We start from the raw sequence: 16,025 nt of genomic DNA, 5'->3' as shown, positions 1-16,025 counted from the left end.
TAATTTCCGCATAATTCATATTCATAATTCACAGTAAGGAAACCTGAAAGTTGCTACCGGGTACTAATAAATGAAAGGTGGGGCGGGCTGCTGTGGGGGCGGGGCCTTGTGAGCCAGTGCCTGGACTCGCACAGCACGTCACAAATGGAAGGGCGGCGCGTGGGGGGAACTCAAGGCCTGATTGATTCCTCCTAAGCAGGGCGTGATCTGGTTGGCAGGGCAACCGACCTTCAGTTAGTGCCTTCAGTGGGTGCCTTCAGTTGGTGGCATTTGGTTGCCTTTCCTGGGGACAGGTGGCAGGTGCTCAGCTCTGCAGGGTGGGGGCAATTGAAGGCCCAAGCTGCCCGAGAAGAGCGGAGTTGCCCCATGGGGACCACGCTGGCCTGTAGCATGTGCACCAAAGCCAGCCCCAGGCAGGGCCCCCACAGGGCTTCTGCGGAGCCATCCTGAGGCTTTGACATCTATGAGTGGGCGGCCAGCAAAGGCGCAGGCCCCAGCACAGAGGAGCAGAGGCGGCCGGAACACCCTGTCCCTTGATACCAGCCCCAAGCAGAGCCACCTCAGGATAAGGTGTTTGGAGCCGTCCTGCAGCTCTGAGATCCACGAGGTGGCGGTGGGAGTAGCACCAGACTCCACTGATTTGGAGTCTGCCCTGTCTGATTCAGGAGACATGACTAGCAGCACATCGGCACCAGAAGACGCCAGAAGGTAGGGAGACTACAGATACCGCTTGGCATTAGGAGCTCTGGTGACCCAAGTATCCACAGCCTAGGGCTCCTCCCTCCTGCCCTAGTTTGCTTTCCTAGGCCCAGGCCCCAAGCAGGAGGACTTGCTCTGACTCCACTTCCCACCCCTTCTTCTTTCCATGTTGCATCCAGCTGGTTACTTTTCATTGCCCTGCCCAAATGCCCACTTCTGGGCCCTCTTCTTCTTTTCTTAGGCCTGTCAAAACTAAGTTTTCAAAATACAAAAAGGATGCCACAGATTTCATTACGGTAGAGGAAATGTCTGACAGCTCTTGTATTTAAACTTAGCTAGCCACATTGGGACTCCCAATTTCATATGTTGAGTTCTAGAGCAGAGCTCTCTCTCCTAAAGTAATGGCTGAGGGTTAGAGGTACGCTTCTTCATTCTAATAATAAAAAATGATTTCTTGTAGAGACAGGGTTTCACTGTGTTGCCCAGGCTGGTCTCAAACCCCTGGCCTCAAGTGATTCACTCACGTTGGCCTCCCGCTTTGTTGGGATGACAGGCAAGAACCACCACACCTGGCCTTGGGAGCTGCTCCTGCTTTGTGTGTTTTGGCTGGTCTTCCTGCACAGCTGTCGGTAAGATGCTCCTGCAGCATAGTTCCAAATCTTTCTGCACAAATTTAGTGGATGATGTGATTTTTTACATGGAATAGCCCCTTTATTTATTGCAGAGAAGCTGGACAATTCACACTTAGTAACATATGGCCTAGCAAATTTCATTTCGTGATCACCACACCTGTTAAAAGGTGATGCTTGTGGTCTAAATATGCAGATTCCTCATCATCCTCAAGGAAAAGGGAACCACAGCAAGGCAACCTGGGAGGGAGTTTAGGATTGCTCTGAGGCAGTGCAAGGCATTGAAATTCACACACGAGGGGGTAGAAAAGAGAATCCACATGTTTTGATCCCTCTATGTTCTGAGTATAACTTGGTCCTCCTTAACACGCACAATTTTTGGTGTCAGAGAAAACTAGATTTGAATACCACTTCCATCACTCTTTATGATGTGATGGTGAATGTGTTTTTAACTCGTCTGAGCGCAGTTTGCTCATCTATAGAAGATATGATTGTTACGAGGCTTCCATAAGGTAAGTGTGTAAAAACCATGGCAAAATGCTTGTAATTTAAAAGAGAGTGTTATTATGAGGCTTCTATGAGGTAAGTGGGTAAAAGTCTGGACACAATGTCTACAATTTTGTAAGTGTTCAATAGGTGGACGAGGAAGATTATCTTTCTCTCATTTTTTAGACCATTAATTTTTAGACCAAGTTTGTAAAATTGGGGATACTCATATTTCTTAGACAATCAAATAAATGATCAGAAAGACTAAATAAATCACCATAGTCACAAAGCAGTTCACAATACATTTACTGGGTAATTTCTAGTTAACAGTAGCAGTGATGATCACATTGAAAATCTCGTGTTTTGTGGTGGTTTTCTCTTACGTAAGCTTCTTGCTTTGTTGAAAGCATAGATTCTAAGCTGCTCTATCAAAATGATTATTAGAAAAATGTGATGTACTTTCTGTGTAAATTTTCTAAACTTTCTTCTGTTAATCTTGTTAATTTGATTGAACATGTGTGTCATTTTCAAAAATGTAAATCGAATATATGTGGATGGGATATATATGTGTACATATGAAATATAACTTCATATTACAGAGTAGGCTTAGCTCATGGCAATGTTGTTTTGTGAAAGCACCTGCAGAAATCTCTCTCATTTCTAGTTTGTTAATGTTTCAGAGATTGCGTGAGGCAGATTTGGTTTCAGTCATTTTAGCATCATTCATTGTAAGGTGATGATCCCTAGGAACTGCTTCACAATGAGAAACCTGAAAGGTCCCAGCAGTGAGCAATGAATGAAAGGTGGGGCGGGGCTGCTGGCAGGGTGGGGCCTTGTCAGCCATATGCCTGTGCTCTCAAGTGCCAAGTTTGTGGGGATGCATGCAGGGGATTCTGGACCTGATTGTTTCCTCTGAACCAGGATGTGGTCTGGTTGGCAGGGCAACTGGTCTTCACTTGGTGGCCTTCAGTGGGTGTCCTCATTGGTTGCCTTCAGATAGTGCCCTCAGTTGGTACCATCAGTTGGCGCTCTTCAGGTGGTGGTCCTCAGTTGGTGGTCTTCAGTTGTAGGGCAATGGTGGAAGGAGGATGAAACTGTGCTTTCTCCTCCCCCAGTCACAGCTCTCAGGCTTGCTGCCTCCGGGCCCTTCTAAAATAAACCAGACAGGTTGGCAGGTTTTTCTTAACAGACAAGTCAGCTCAGGGTACAGGGGTGACACAGGGTGCAGGCTGCTAGTGCAGTGCCACCCCATGGCCCAGGGGTGCCCGTGCCAGCCATGCCTTTGCCAGGAAGAGGCGATAGGTGTTGAGCTCTGCAGACTTGGGGACAAGCGAACACCCAAGCTGCCTGAGAAGTGCAGGGGTGCCCCATGGGGACCACACTGAACTGTCGCATGTGCACCAAAGCCAGCCCCAGTCAGGGCCGGCACAAGGTTTCTGCAGAGCCAGCCTGTGGCTCTGACGTCTACAAGTGTGCATACAACGAAGGCGCAGGCTGCGATATACAGGAGCAGAGGCACCCAGAACACGCTGCCCCTGCTGCCAGTTGCAAGTGGGGTCTGCTCAGAATGCGGAGGGTGAAGCTGTCCTGCAGCTTTGAGATCCACGAGGTGGTGGTGGCCCTAGCGCCAGACTCCACTGCTATGGAACCTGCCCAGTTGAATTTGGGAGCCAGTGAGGGACCTGACAGCAGCACCAGGAGACGCCCAAAGGTAGGGAGGTGACAGATACTGCTGAAGTTTAGGAACTCCTCTAGCCATTGCTGGCCCAAGAATCCTGCAGAGGCATCCAGAGTCTCAGTTTTCTCATCTGTAAACGATGTGCTTGTTATGAGGCTTCGGTAAGGTAAGTGTGTAAAAACCATGGCAAAATGCTTGTAACTTAAAAGAGAGGATTTCTATGAGGCTTCTATAAAGTAAGTGTATAAAAATCTGGACACAATACCTATGATTTTTTCAGTGTTCAGTATATGGAGAAGGAGATTATATTCTCTCATCTAATTTTCAGAGCCAGTTTATAAAAATGGTGATACTCATATTTCTTAGACGATGAAATCAATGATCAGAAAGAATAAATAGATCATCAAAGTCACACAGCAGTTCACAATGCGTTCCTTGTGTAATTTCTAGTTAAAAGTAGCAATGATGATCACATTGAAAATTTTGTATTATGTGGTAGTTTTCACTTACATAATCCTTTTGGTGTTTTGAAACCATATATTCTAAGTTGCTCTACCAAAGCGATCATTAGAAAAATGTGATGTAGTTAGTGTGTAAATTTTAGAAAATTTCTTCCGTTAGTCTTGTTAATTTGATTGCAAATATGTGTTATTTTCAAAAACGTAAATGGAATATATATTGATTGGACTTGTATGTGTATATATGAAATATGACTGGACATTATAGAGTAGGCTTAGTTCATGGCAATGTTTTTTTCTGAAAGCACCTGAAGAAATCACTCTTATTTCCAGTTTGTTAGTGTTTCAGAGATTATGGGGGAAAGGGGGTTCTATGAATGTCAGACACTGCGTGAGGCACATTTGGTTTCAGTAATTTTAGCATCATTCATTGTAAAGTGATGATCCCTCGGAACTTCTTCACAATGAGAAACCTGAAAGGTCCCAGCAGCCAGCAATGAATGAAAGGTGGGGTGGGGCCGCTGGCAGGGCGAGGCCTTGTGAGCCATGTGCCTGTGCTCTCAAGTCCGAAGTTTGTGGGGATGTATGCAGGAGATTCTGGCCCTGATTGTTTCCCCAGAACCAGGATGCGTTCTGGTTGGCAGGACAACTGGCCTTCACTTGGTGGCCTTCAGTGGGTGTTCTCATTGGTTGCCTTCGTTTAGTGCCCTCAGTTGTTTCTCTTCAGTTGGCGGTCCTCAGTTGGTGGTCTTCGGTTGTTGGGCAGTGGTGGGAGGAGGATGAATCCATTTGTGCTCTCTCCTCCCCCAGTCACAGCTCTCAGGCTTGTTGCCTCCAGGCCCTTCTAAAATAAACTAGACAGGTGGCAGGATTTTTTTAGCAGACAAGTCAGCTCAGGGTACAGGGGTGAAGCGGGTTGCGGGATGCTAGTGCAGTGTCGCCTCATGGCCCAGGGCTGCCCGTGCCAGCCATGCCTTTGTCAGGAAGAGGCGATAGGTGTTGAGCTCTGCAGTCGTGGGGGCCAGGGAAGGCCCAAGCTGCCTGAGAAGAGCAGGGGTGCCCCATGGGGCCCACACTGAACTGTCGCATGTGCACCAAAGCCAGCCCCAGTCAGGGCTGGCAAAGGGGTTCTGCAGAGCCAGCCTGTGGCTCTGACATCTACGAGTGTGCAGACAGCGAAGGCGCAAGCTGCGATATACAGGACCAGAAGCACCCGGAACACGCTTTCCCCCACTGCGAGCCGCAATTGGGCTAGCTCAGGGTGCGGTGGGTGAAGCTTTCCTGCAGCTCTGAGATCCACGAAGTGGAGGTGGTAGTAGCGCAGGACCCCACTGCTTTGGAGGCTGCCCAATCGAATTTGGGAGCCAGTGAGTGTCCTGACAGCGGCACCAGAAGACCCCGAAAGGTAGGGAGGCGACGGATACTGTTTAGATTCAGGAGCACCTCTGGCTGCTGATGGCCCACGTTTCCCCCAGAGGCATCCAAAGCCTCAGTTTTCTCATCTATAAAAGATGTGATTGTTATGAGGCTTCCATAAGGTGTGTAAAAACCAAGGCAAAAATGTTTGTAATTTAAAAGAGAGAGTTTCTGTGAGGCTTCTATAAGGTAAGTGTGTAAAATCTGGACACAATACCTATAATTTAGGTCACTATAACCTCTGCCTCCTGGGTTCAAACGATTCTCCTGCCTTAGCCTCCCGTGTAGCTGGGATTAGAGGCATGCGCCATCAGGCCTGACCAATGTTGTTCTTTTTAGGAGAGATGGGGTTTCACCATGTTGGTCAGGCCGGTCTCGAACTCCTGACCTCAGGTGATCTGCTCACCTTAGCTTCCCTAAGTACTGGGATTATAGGCGTGAGTCACCATCCTAGGCCAAAAATTTCATTCCTTGATCAACAAACCTGTTTCCAAGGAGATGCTTGTGGTCTACATATGCAGATTCCCAGCATTTCCAAGAAGAAGGGAATGACTGCAAGGCAACCTGGGCGGGAGTTTAGGATTGTTCTGAGGCTGTGAAAGCCATTGAAATTCACACATAAGAGGATAGAGAAAGGGAATTCACATGTTTGATCCCTCCATGTACTGGGTATAACTTGGTCTTCATTAAGTTTGCACCACCTTTGGCATCAGAGAGAACTGGAGTTGAATCCAAGTTCCAACACTCATTAGGATGTGATCATGAATGTGTTTTTAACTCCTCAGAACCTCACTTTGCTTATCTATAAAAGAGGGGATTCTTATGAGGCTTCCGTAAGTTAAATGAGTAAAAATTTGGGTGGACAAAATGCCTGTAATTTAAAAGATAGGGTTGTTATGAGGCTTCGATAAGGTAAGTGTGCAAAAATCTGGACACAATGCCTATAATTTTGTTAGTGTTCAATATATAGAGAAGGATTATTTTTCTATCATTTAATTTTTAGAGCAAGTTTATAAAATGGTGTTACTCATCTTTTTGAGAAAATCAGACCAAGGATCACAAAGATTAAATGAGTCGCCATAGTCACAAAGGAGTTTACAATACATTTCCTGGGTAATTGCCAGTTAAAAGTAGCAATGATGATCACATTTCAAATCTTGAATTATGTGGTGCTTTTCTCTTACGTAAGCCTCTTTGTGTGTTGAAGCCATAGATTCTAAGTTGCTGTATCAAAATGATCACTAGAAAACTGTGATATACTTAGTGTATATATTTTAGAAAATGTCTTCTATTACTCTTGTTAATTTGATTGAATACATGTGTTATTTTCAAAAATGTAAATGGAATATGTGTGGATTGAATATATATGTACATATATATGAAATATGATTTGTCATTATAGTGTAGGCATAGCTCATGGCAATGTGTTTTTCTGAAAGCAGCTGCAGAAATTTGTCTTTTTTTAGTTTGCAAAAATTTCAGAGGTTATGGGGGAAAGTGGGGTTCTATGAATCCCAGATAGTACATGAAGCAGATTTGGTTTCAGTAATTTTAGCATAATTCATTGTAAGGTGATGATCCCTAGGAACTTCATCACAGTGAGCAACCTGAAAGCTCCCAGCAGCCAGCAATAAATGAGGTGGGACGAGTCCACTGGCAGGGCGGGGCCTTAAGAGCCTGATGCTTGAGCTCTGAATTCCAAGTTGGGGGGACACATGCAAAGGATTCTGGGCCTGATTGTTTCCTGTAACCAGGATACAGTCTGGTTGGCAGGGCAACTGGCTTTCACTTGGTGGCCTTCAGTGGGTGTCCTCATTGGTTGCCTTTGGTTAGTGCCCTCAGTTGGTACCCTCAGTTGTTTCTCTTCAGTTGGTGGTCCTCAGTTGGTGGTTTTCAGTTGTTGGGCAGCGGTGGAAGGAGGATGAATCTGTGCTCTCTCCTCCCCAGGCCACAGCTCTCAGGCTTGTTGCATCCAGGCCCTTCTAAAATAAACCAGACAGGTTGGCAGGTTTTTTTTTAGCAGACAAGTCAGCTCAGAGTACGGGGGTGACACGGGGTGCAGGCTGCTAGCGCAGTGCCACCCCATGGCCCAGGGCTGCCCGTGCCAGCCATGCTTTTGCCAGGAAGAGGCGATAGGTGTTGAGCCCTGCAGACTTGGGTGCAAGCGAAGACCCAAGCTGCCTGAGAAGAGTAGGGGTGCCCCATGGGGCCCACACTGAACTATTGCATATGCACCAAAGCCAGCCCCAATTGGCACAAGGGTTCACAGAGCCAGCCTGTGGCTCTGACGTCTACCAGCATGCAGACTGTGAAGATGCAGGCCGCGATATACGGGAGCAGAGGTGCCCAGAACATGCTGTCCCCCAATGCCAGCCACAAGTGGGGCTATCTGAGGGTGTGATGGGTGAAGCTGTCCTGCAGCTCTGAGATCCACGAGGCAGAGGCAGCAGTAGCGCTGGACTCCACTGCTTTGGAGGCTGCCCAGTCGAATTTGGGAGCCAGCAAGAGTCCTGACAGCAGCACATTGGCCACCAGAAGACACCCAAAGGTAGGGAGGCGGCAGATACTGCTTAAGTTCAGGAGCTCCTCTGGCCATTGCTGACCCAAGTTCCCCCAGAGGCATCCACAGCCTGGGGCTCCTTCCTCCTGCCTAGAGTTTGCTTTCCTATGCCCAGGCCCCAACCAGGAGGACTGGCTCTGCCTCGAGTCCTGATCCCTTCTTCTTTCCCTGCTGTTTCCAGCCGGTTTCTTACTTTCCTCCTACCTACCCCAATGCCCAGTTCTGTTTCCTCCTCTTCTTCCCCTAGGCTGGCTGAAAACTAAGTTTCAAAATACAAAATGAATGCTACAGATTTCATTGCTGTAGATGAAATGCTGACAGCTTTTCTATTTAAACTCTGGTTGTTCTTTTCATTTCTTTAAACATTAGAATAATTAAGCCTCATGATAGATGTGCCTTTGTAACTTGAAAGTACGACACTCAATTGTCACAATTTAAAAAAATTTTTAATTTTTCTTTTCATAAATTTTTGGCAAACAGGTAGTATTTAGTTATTAACTCCTTTAGTGGAGATTTGTGAGATTTTGGTGAACCAATCACCCAAGCAGTGCACACGGAATCCAATTTGTAGTCTCTTATCTTTCTCCCCCTTCCTACCATTTTCCCCTGGTATCATTCTTTTTTTTGAGACTGAGTCTCATTCTGTCACCCAGGCTGGAATGCTATGTCGTGACGTCAGCTCGCTGCAACCCTTGCTTCCTGAGTTCATGTGGTCCTCCTGCTTCAGCCTCCCGAGTACCTGGGATTAGAGGCGTGGGTCACGACGCCCAACTAAATTTTTTGTATTTTTAGTCGTGACTGGGTTTCACCAAATTGGCCAGTCTGTTCTCGAACTCCTGACTTCAAGTGATGCGCCTGCCTTGGCCTCCCCTAGGGCTGTGATTACAGGAATGAGCCACCAGAACCCAGCCAAATATTCCCCACTGCCTTCTTTTTTGCTTTTTTCCTAATCTCCTGAAGTCATTCTTTGAGTTGTCATGTAGATTAATAGGTTTCTCAAATTACTGGAAAACTAGTTGAAGAAATAAACAGGCAGTTTGTGAATATTAGATAGAACAGTGGTGCTGAGCATGGCTAAAGCATCTCTGCATTCACAGGGAGAGGAGCGGAAGACCTTCTGGTGTGGGCTGGGCAGCAATTCACTTGAAGGAGAAACAGCCCCGGTGTGGAGAGGCGGCCATCCTTGGCGGGATCCTTTCTAAGGAGCCGAGAAATCAACGTAGAGCTTCCTCTGTCTGATTCTCTAACAACTGCAGACCTTCCATGAGTCAAGCTTTGTGTCAAAAGGACAAATAAAAAGGCAAGAAAATAAAATCGTAATACCAGGACTTTTGGGGAAAACAAAAAAACTCACATCTAATTCCAGATTATTTCCATTGTTTCTGTGTCCAATGTACTCTTTCGTTGTTGTTGTTGTTGTTGTTGCTGTTGTTGAGACTGAGTCTCACCCTGTCACCAGGCTGGAGAGCAGTTGCGTGATCTCGGCTCGCTACAACCTCCGCCTCCCAGGTTCAGCGACACTTGTGCCTCAGCCTACTGAGTAGCTGGGACTACAGGCATGTGCCACCACGCCCAGCTAATTTTTGTATTTTTAGTAGATACAGGGTTTCACCACGTTGGCCAGGATGGTCTCGAGCTCCTGACCTCGTGATCTGCCTGCCTCAGCCTCTCAAAGTGCGGGGATTAGAGGCGTGAGGCACCGCACTCAGCTTAATATACTCTTTGTTGAGAACAATGTTCAAACATTGTTCCTGCACTCAGCACGGTATGAAACTAGATAAATACATTTTAAGGAAATCAACAATACAATTTTTTTGAAAGAAAATTGGTTTTCAAGGTTTATTCTTCAATTATTGAAAGGTTTTCAAAAGTAAAACATACTATTCCTCTCCACAATCCCAGTTAATCCAGACCCTCCTCAGTGGGCTTTATCAAATACCCTACTCACCTTCCTGAATCTTTTGCTGAATCTCATATAAAGTTTTGTCACAGAACCTCAGCTTTTTCATACGGTTTTGTGTACCACGTCATGCCTGTGAATTGCTCTCTTTGCTTTGTTTTTATTTATTTATTTATTTTTTGTAAGAAGTAGCCAGGAAGTATCTTTCTTTGCTTTATAGATGTAAACTGCTTTGTATTTTCAGATTAACTTTCAAGAATGTTGAAAATTCTTTGCTCACTCTTCTTTTCTCACTTCCTCCCTCTCAGGACCTATAAAAGGCATCACCAAGCCCAATGGACAGATGCCCCAGGCTGCACATTCTGTCAGTGCTGTTCTGGAAAAGGCCCAAACACATGCTGAAACATCGAAGGTAAAACCAGCAAGCAGCTGACATACATTCCATCCAGCCGTCCCCCAAAGCCCATGTTCTCAACCATTCGCATTGTTCCAATAACTGCTCTTTTAAAAATAGAAAACACGCGGTGGCTCACGCCTATAATTCCAGCACTTTGGGAGGCTGATGCGGGCGGATCACGAGGTCAGGAGATCGAGACCATGGGGTAACCCCGTCTCTACTAAAAATACAAAAAAAGAAAAAAAATTAGCCGGGCTCGGTGGTAGGAACCTGTAGTCCTAGCTACTTGGGAGGCTGAGGCCGAGGAATGGCATGAACCCGGGAGGTGGAGCTTGCAGTGAGCCGAGATCCCGTTACTGCGCTCCAGCCTGGGGCGACAGAGCGAGACTTCATCTCAAAAAAAAAAAAAAAAAAAAAAAAAAGAGAGAGAGAGAGAGAGAGAGAGAAAACAGGCAAACAGGTTGGGTACGGGTACGGTGGCTTACGCCTGTAATCCCAGTACTTTGGGAGGCCGAAACAGGAGAATTGCTTGAGCTCCGGAGTTCCAGACCAGCCTGAGCGACAGAACAAGGGCTCATCTTTACAAGAAATTAAAAAATTAGCCAGCTGTGGTGGCGTGCACCTGTGGTCCTAGCTACTTGGGTGGCTGAGGTGTTTGAATTGCTTGAGCCCAGGATTTCAAGGCTGCAGTGAGCTGTGATCACACCACTGCACTCCAGCCTACGTGATAGTTAAAGACCTTGTCTTAAAAAAAGATAAAAAAGGGTTACACTAAAAATGTGCATTGTCTATTTTCCCCATTAATGTCCTACATACATCCCCAGGGTGATGGAGGAGAAAATACATTTTAAAATAATAGCCAATAGGTATGACATCCTCCACAGCATTTTTTCAACCAAATAGGTCAATGAGGATTCACTTAAATCTATCTTAAAATCATAGTTAATAATTATGATTTAGTTACTAATCTAGTTCAAAACCTCTCAGTTGACTGTATAAATTCTGTTGAGTATTTCTCACATGTGATTCAAAACAACCTTAAATAACTGTGACAATAGCATATTACCCAGCTAGGACAGGCAGGGTGCTTCACTTTAGCAATTTTTCACTTCTTTCACCCCTTCATTTTGTCCATCAGTCAGTGGTGAAAACAATTACATCTTAGTATTTATTGAACTTCTTATAACTTTGACAACCACTGCAGGCCTGTAAAAGTTGTATTTCTTTAATGTTCTCATTATCTTCTCAAGCCTCTGCTTCTCATGCAATGTGCTGTCAGCTATTACTATTTTCATTATTTCTACAATGCCAATCAAAGGAAAGCATTTAAAAATGCTGAAAGAAATAAAAGAATCCCAGAATAGAAATCACTTAACTATATGTGAACATCAATACCCAACCTACCTGCTCAGAAATTTTTTAAAAAGGAAAAAGTACATCGCCAGTTAATTAGCGTATCATGCTAAGTAAATAAACTAAATAAAATAGAAACTAAATCACAAGGCACTTTGTTAGAAAAAAAATTTGCAGATTTAATCTTCAGTGGTAAGAAACTATTAAGCAGAGGAAGAAATAAACTGGAACCCTGATGAAATGTAAATTGGAATGATAATTACCACTAAAACAGAGGGATTCAATCCAGCTGCCTGGGGACGTTTCATTATATAAATACAAATTATTATAATGTATTCCAGCATTGGCAGAGGAAGGGCTATGCCTCTAATAGACTTTAGCCAAATTTAGCATTCTGGTTTCTACCAGTAGCATGCTGATAATTTTTCTTTTTAGAACTCATATATATATATATCTCATTTTATCTCATCACAATCTGAGACACAGGTCATAATAGGGACTACAGGGCTCATTTTATACCCGGTGAACCAGCCAACTTTCATGCAGTTGAGAAAAGGTAAACTGTCCGGGTGAGGTGGCTCACACCTGTTATTTGGGAGGCCTAGGTGGGCAGATCACTTGAGCCCAGGAGTTGGAGACCAGCCTGAGCAACATGGCAAAAAACTCTCTCTACAAAAAATACAAAAATTAGCTGGGCATGGTGGCACATGCTTGTCATCCCAGCAACTCAGGAGGCTGAGGCATGAGGATCACTGAGCCCTAGAAGCAGAGGTTGCAGTGAGTCGAGCTTGCACCACTGCACTCCAGCCTGGGTGACACAGCGAGATCCTGTCACACACACACACAAAAAAAAAGCCAGGTGCGGTGACTCGTGCCTGTAATTCCAGCACTTTGGGAGGCAGAGGCAGGCAGATCATGAGGTCAGGAGTTCAAGACCAGCCTGACCAACATGGTGAAACCCCATCTCCACTAAAAATACAAAAATTAGCTGGACGTGGTGGCCAGCACCTGTAGTCCCAGCTACTCGAGAGGCTGAGGCAGGAGAATCGCTTGAACCCGGGAGGCAGAGGTTGCAGTGAACCGAGATGGCGCCACTGCACTCCAGCCTGGGTGACAGAGCAAGACTCCGTCTCAATAATAATAATAATAATAATAATATTAAAGACCATTTAGAGTCATTTCCCTATTCCAGAGTGAAGATGAGCTCATGAACAACCAGGGGTCTCAGTGACTGAGGGACGGAGGCTCCCCAGGGGGCAGACAGAGACCTCGCCTATCTATGGCATGGTCCTGTCCACTGGGGCTGTTTTGTCAAGAATAAAGAATGCTACTCACAAGACTGAGGCGGGAGGATCGCTTGAGCTCAGGAGATCGAGGCTGCAGTGAGCCCAGATCGCGCCATTGCACTCAGCCTGGGCGACAGAGGGAGACCCTGTCTCCATTAATTAATAACAATATATTTAAAATTTCGAAAATTTTAAAATAATGAATGCTGCCGTCGCTTGTTTGCAGGATAAGAAGCCAGCCCTCGGGAACCGGCAGGAGCACTCTGGGCCCCGCACGGCCCCAAGTCCAGCCTGCCCCGCCTCCTCTGGTGCAGAGGTCCAGGGATACCAGCAGCAGCCCCGCCACGCCCCTCCAAGGCCAAGAACACAGGCGGCAGGGGCTTCCCCTCCCTGCCAGACTACTTCCTGCCGCCACAGCCACCACCCTTGGACGACCCAGAGCTCCCGCCGCCCCTGGACTTCGTGCTCCCTCCCCCCGCGGTCGCCAAGAGGCCTCCTAATGCCCCACCCCCGCAAGAGACACGAAGCATCAATGTTCAGAAGCAGCAAATAAATAAAATAAATGAATAAAAGTTAAACGTTCTTCCTACAGTATTTCTATAAGGATTATTGGGTCAGTCAATCTTGAGGTCAATACTATAATTAAAAATAGCTTTCACCATCCCATGCCTTCTTAAGTCTTGGTGATCTTAGATTTTCATCTCTACCTCTGTGACCTTCAGAATTTTCAGGAAAATCGAGAAAGAAAAACGAGGAAATATGACCAGCAGAGCCTGTTCCCTTGCTCTGAGATTCCCGTTGCTTGATTGATTGGAGCCCTGGACACAGGCTGTTTTGGTTTTGCTTTTTTAGTGCTTGAATAACAGTAATTTAAAAAAATAGTCTTTAGATAGTTTTTGAATTCTCTATTATTACAATGCTGTTAGTATCCTGTAAAAAAGAATGTAGGGCCAGGTAAAAGCAATCTTATTGCTGTGTATTTCAATCTGGAAGGTTTTCCCTCAGAGATACATTTACTGCCCAGCTTATCCTAGCCTCTTGTTACCTATATCTCTTCTCTTTCAAATTGGCTTCTGATGGGCTAAAAGGCTATTTTCTTAAAATTAAGGAAGGCAATTAATGGTATGTTTTAGTATTTGGAGAAGAGTAAGCTGTAGATCATGCTGTCTCAACCCACGGGCTCCCGTGGCCCAGGACAACTTTGAATGCTGCCCAACAAATATTAAAACATTATAAGCTCTTTGTAGGGCGCGGTGACTCACACTTGTAATCCCAGCACTATTGGGAGGCCAAGGCTGGCAGATCACTTGAGATCAGGAGTTCGAGACCAGCTTGGCCAATATGGCAAAACCCTATCTGTACTAAAAATACAAAAATTAGCCAGGTGCGGTGACGCATGCCTGTAATCCCAGCAACTCCAGAGGCTGAGGAGGAGAATCCTTTGAACCCAGGAGGTGGAGCCTGCAGTGAGCTGAGATCTTGCTACTGCACTCAATCCTGGACGACAGGGCAAGACTCTCTCTTAAAAAAATTATGAGATCTTTTTGCAATTTTTTTTTTTAGCTGATCAGCTATCACGAGTGTTAGTAGGTCTTATGTGTGTCCCAGGGAAGCCAAAAGATTGGACACCCCTGCAGGCTAAATGGAAATTTAAAATGAAACAAATTTAGTTTTAAAACCAAAATATTTAGTAATTAAAACTGGCAAGGTGTTCTTAATTTTTTGAGCATATGCTTGAAATAGGATAGAAGGTAAATTTGCTTTACATTAAATTTTATCTCAGGAACAGTAACTCCAGTTTTAGTATATCATGTTCTTTTGATGTCAGATACAGTAATAATACGGCTTTTCTTTTTAATTTTTTTTTAAATTTTATTTTACTTTAAGTTCAGGATACATGTGCAGAACATGCAGATTTGTTACATAGGTAAACATGTGCCATGGTGGTTTGCTGCATCTATCAACACATCACCTAAATACGAGGCCCAGCATGTGTTAGCTATTTGTCCTGATGCTCTCCCTCCCCTCAACCCCCCACAACAGGCCCCAGTGTATGTTGTTCCCCTCTTTGCGTCCATGTGAAAGACACAGCTTTTCTGATACCTGACTACATAATGGTCATTATGCCGATCTCTGGGACAATACAGGAAAGGTTCAGCGAAGAGAGCTGTGAAAGTTGTCAGAATCAAAATGGGGTCACTCATGTTAAGAAAACCCTGACAAATAGAACCAGGCAAGTCCATGAATAGAGGGTTCTCATGACAATCGTCAACCCTGTGATTTTCACTCAAGTGGAACACAATCTTTGGTGTCTGGCTGAGAGGTCTTTACAAGAACTACCTCTACCTGAGTGGGATTATTTAGATTGACCCTGAAAATGCAGCAAACTTTGCTCCTTTATGAATATTTTAGTGAGATACTGGAGGTGGGGGGAGTGCAAAAAGTGGGGTGAAATTGGACATTAGAGAGGAAGTGCAAGGATAATAATATATTATGAACTGTATAATTAATGATATAGGGCAGTAATGCTATATCACAGCTTATGAAAATCCATAATTTCTTTTATAATGCTGCCACTGGGGCAAAGACCCATGTAATAGGCCAACTGCAGCAAAACCCACAGGGTTTGGTAGAGTTTACAGAAAACATGATTTAATCTGTCACATGATAGAATATGAACTAAGATTTTACAGTAGGTCCTCAAAGAGGAGAATGAATATTTAAGCCTCATATTTTGTTTGATCATAGGAATCTTGGCTGGTATGATACTGAAATGACCCAATTCCATGATAATTGAGCCTTTGAAGTGTGCTTGAGACTTATGGCTTGATGTGTGATCCATTTTTACCGATGGTTTATGTGTGCTTGGGTACAATGTACTACACGTGTTCCTTAGAACAAGCTTGTTTAGCATGTTCCACAAATTTTCTGCCTGCAGCTTGTTATCTGGTCTGCTGCATCCATCAATTACTAAGAAGGATATTTTAAAATCTTCTGAGGGCAGATTTGTCAATATCTTTTCATTGTTCTGGTGAATTGTGCCTTATATATTCTGACATGGTTAATTATTAAGTGTAAACAAAAATTATGTATGTGACTTCCTGGTGAGTTGAACCGTCCATCACCATGCAATGTTTTCTGCTTTTTTTCTTGTACTCATGCA

The 16,025-nt window shown here is 44.9% G+C and overlaps 1 long non-coding RNA gene across 1 annotated transcript, besides 2 other annotated features; it reads left to right on the top strand.

Moving 5' to 3' along the window:
- Positions 1 to 2,649: 2,649 nt before the first annotated feature.
- On the top strand, positions 2,650 to 13,445 carry FAM238C (family with sequence similarity 238 member C). The gene is made up of 5 exons (NR_026795.1): positions 2,650 to 5,355; positions 7,665 to 7,914; positions 9,024 to 9,226; positions 10,135 to 10,238; positions 13,089 to 13,445. It is a non-coding gene; the product is annotated as a family with sequence similarity 238 member C (long non-coding RNA).
- Positions 4,889 to 5,058: an enhancer, noted in NCBI's record as "experimental_11711 CRE fragment used in MPRA reporter constructs". NCBI's record gives its function as "activates a minimal promoter by MPRAs in K562 erythroleukemia cells, with activity observed for the introgressed 10:27228607 variant allele {active_cell/tissue: K562}" and the evidence as "EXISTENCE:reporter gene assay evidence [ECO:0000049][PMID:34662402]".
- Positions 5,075 to 5,244: an enhancer, noted in NCBI's record as "experimental_11703 CRE fragment used in MPRA reporter constructs". NCBI's record gives its function as "activates a minimal promoter by MPRAs in K562 erythroleukemia cells, with activity observed for both the introgressed and non-introgressed 10:27228421 variant alleles {active_cell/tissue: K562}" and the evidence as "EXISTENCE:reporter gene assay evidence [ECO:0000049][PMID:34662402]".
- Positions 13,446 to 16,025: the final 2,580 nt, after the last annotated feature.

The sequence above is a fragment of the Homo sapiens genome, chromosome 10 (assembly GCF_000001405.40).
Source record: "Homo sapiens chromosome 10, GRCh38.p14 Primary Assembly".
NCBI lineage: Eukaryota > Metazoa > Chordata > Mammalia > Primates > Hominidae > Homo > Homo sapiens.
The sequence above is the reverse complement of the archived record's forward strand: the minus strand, read 5'-3'. Positions and strand labels throughout refer to the sequence as shown.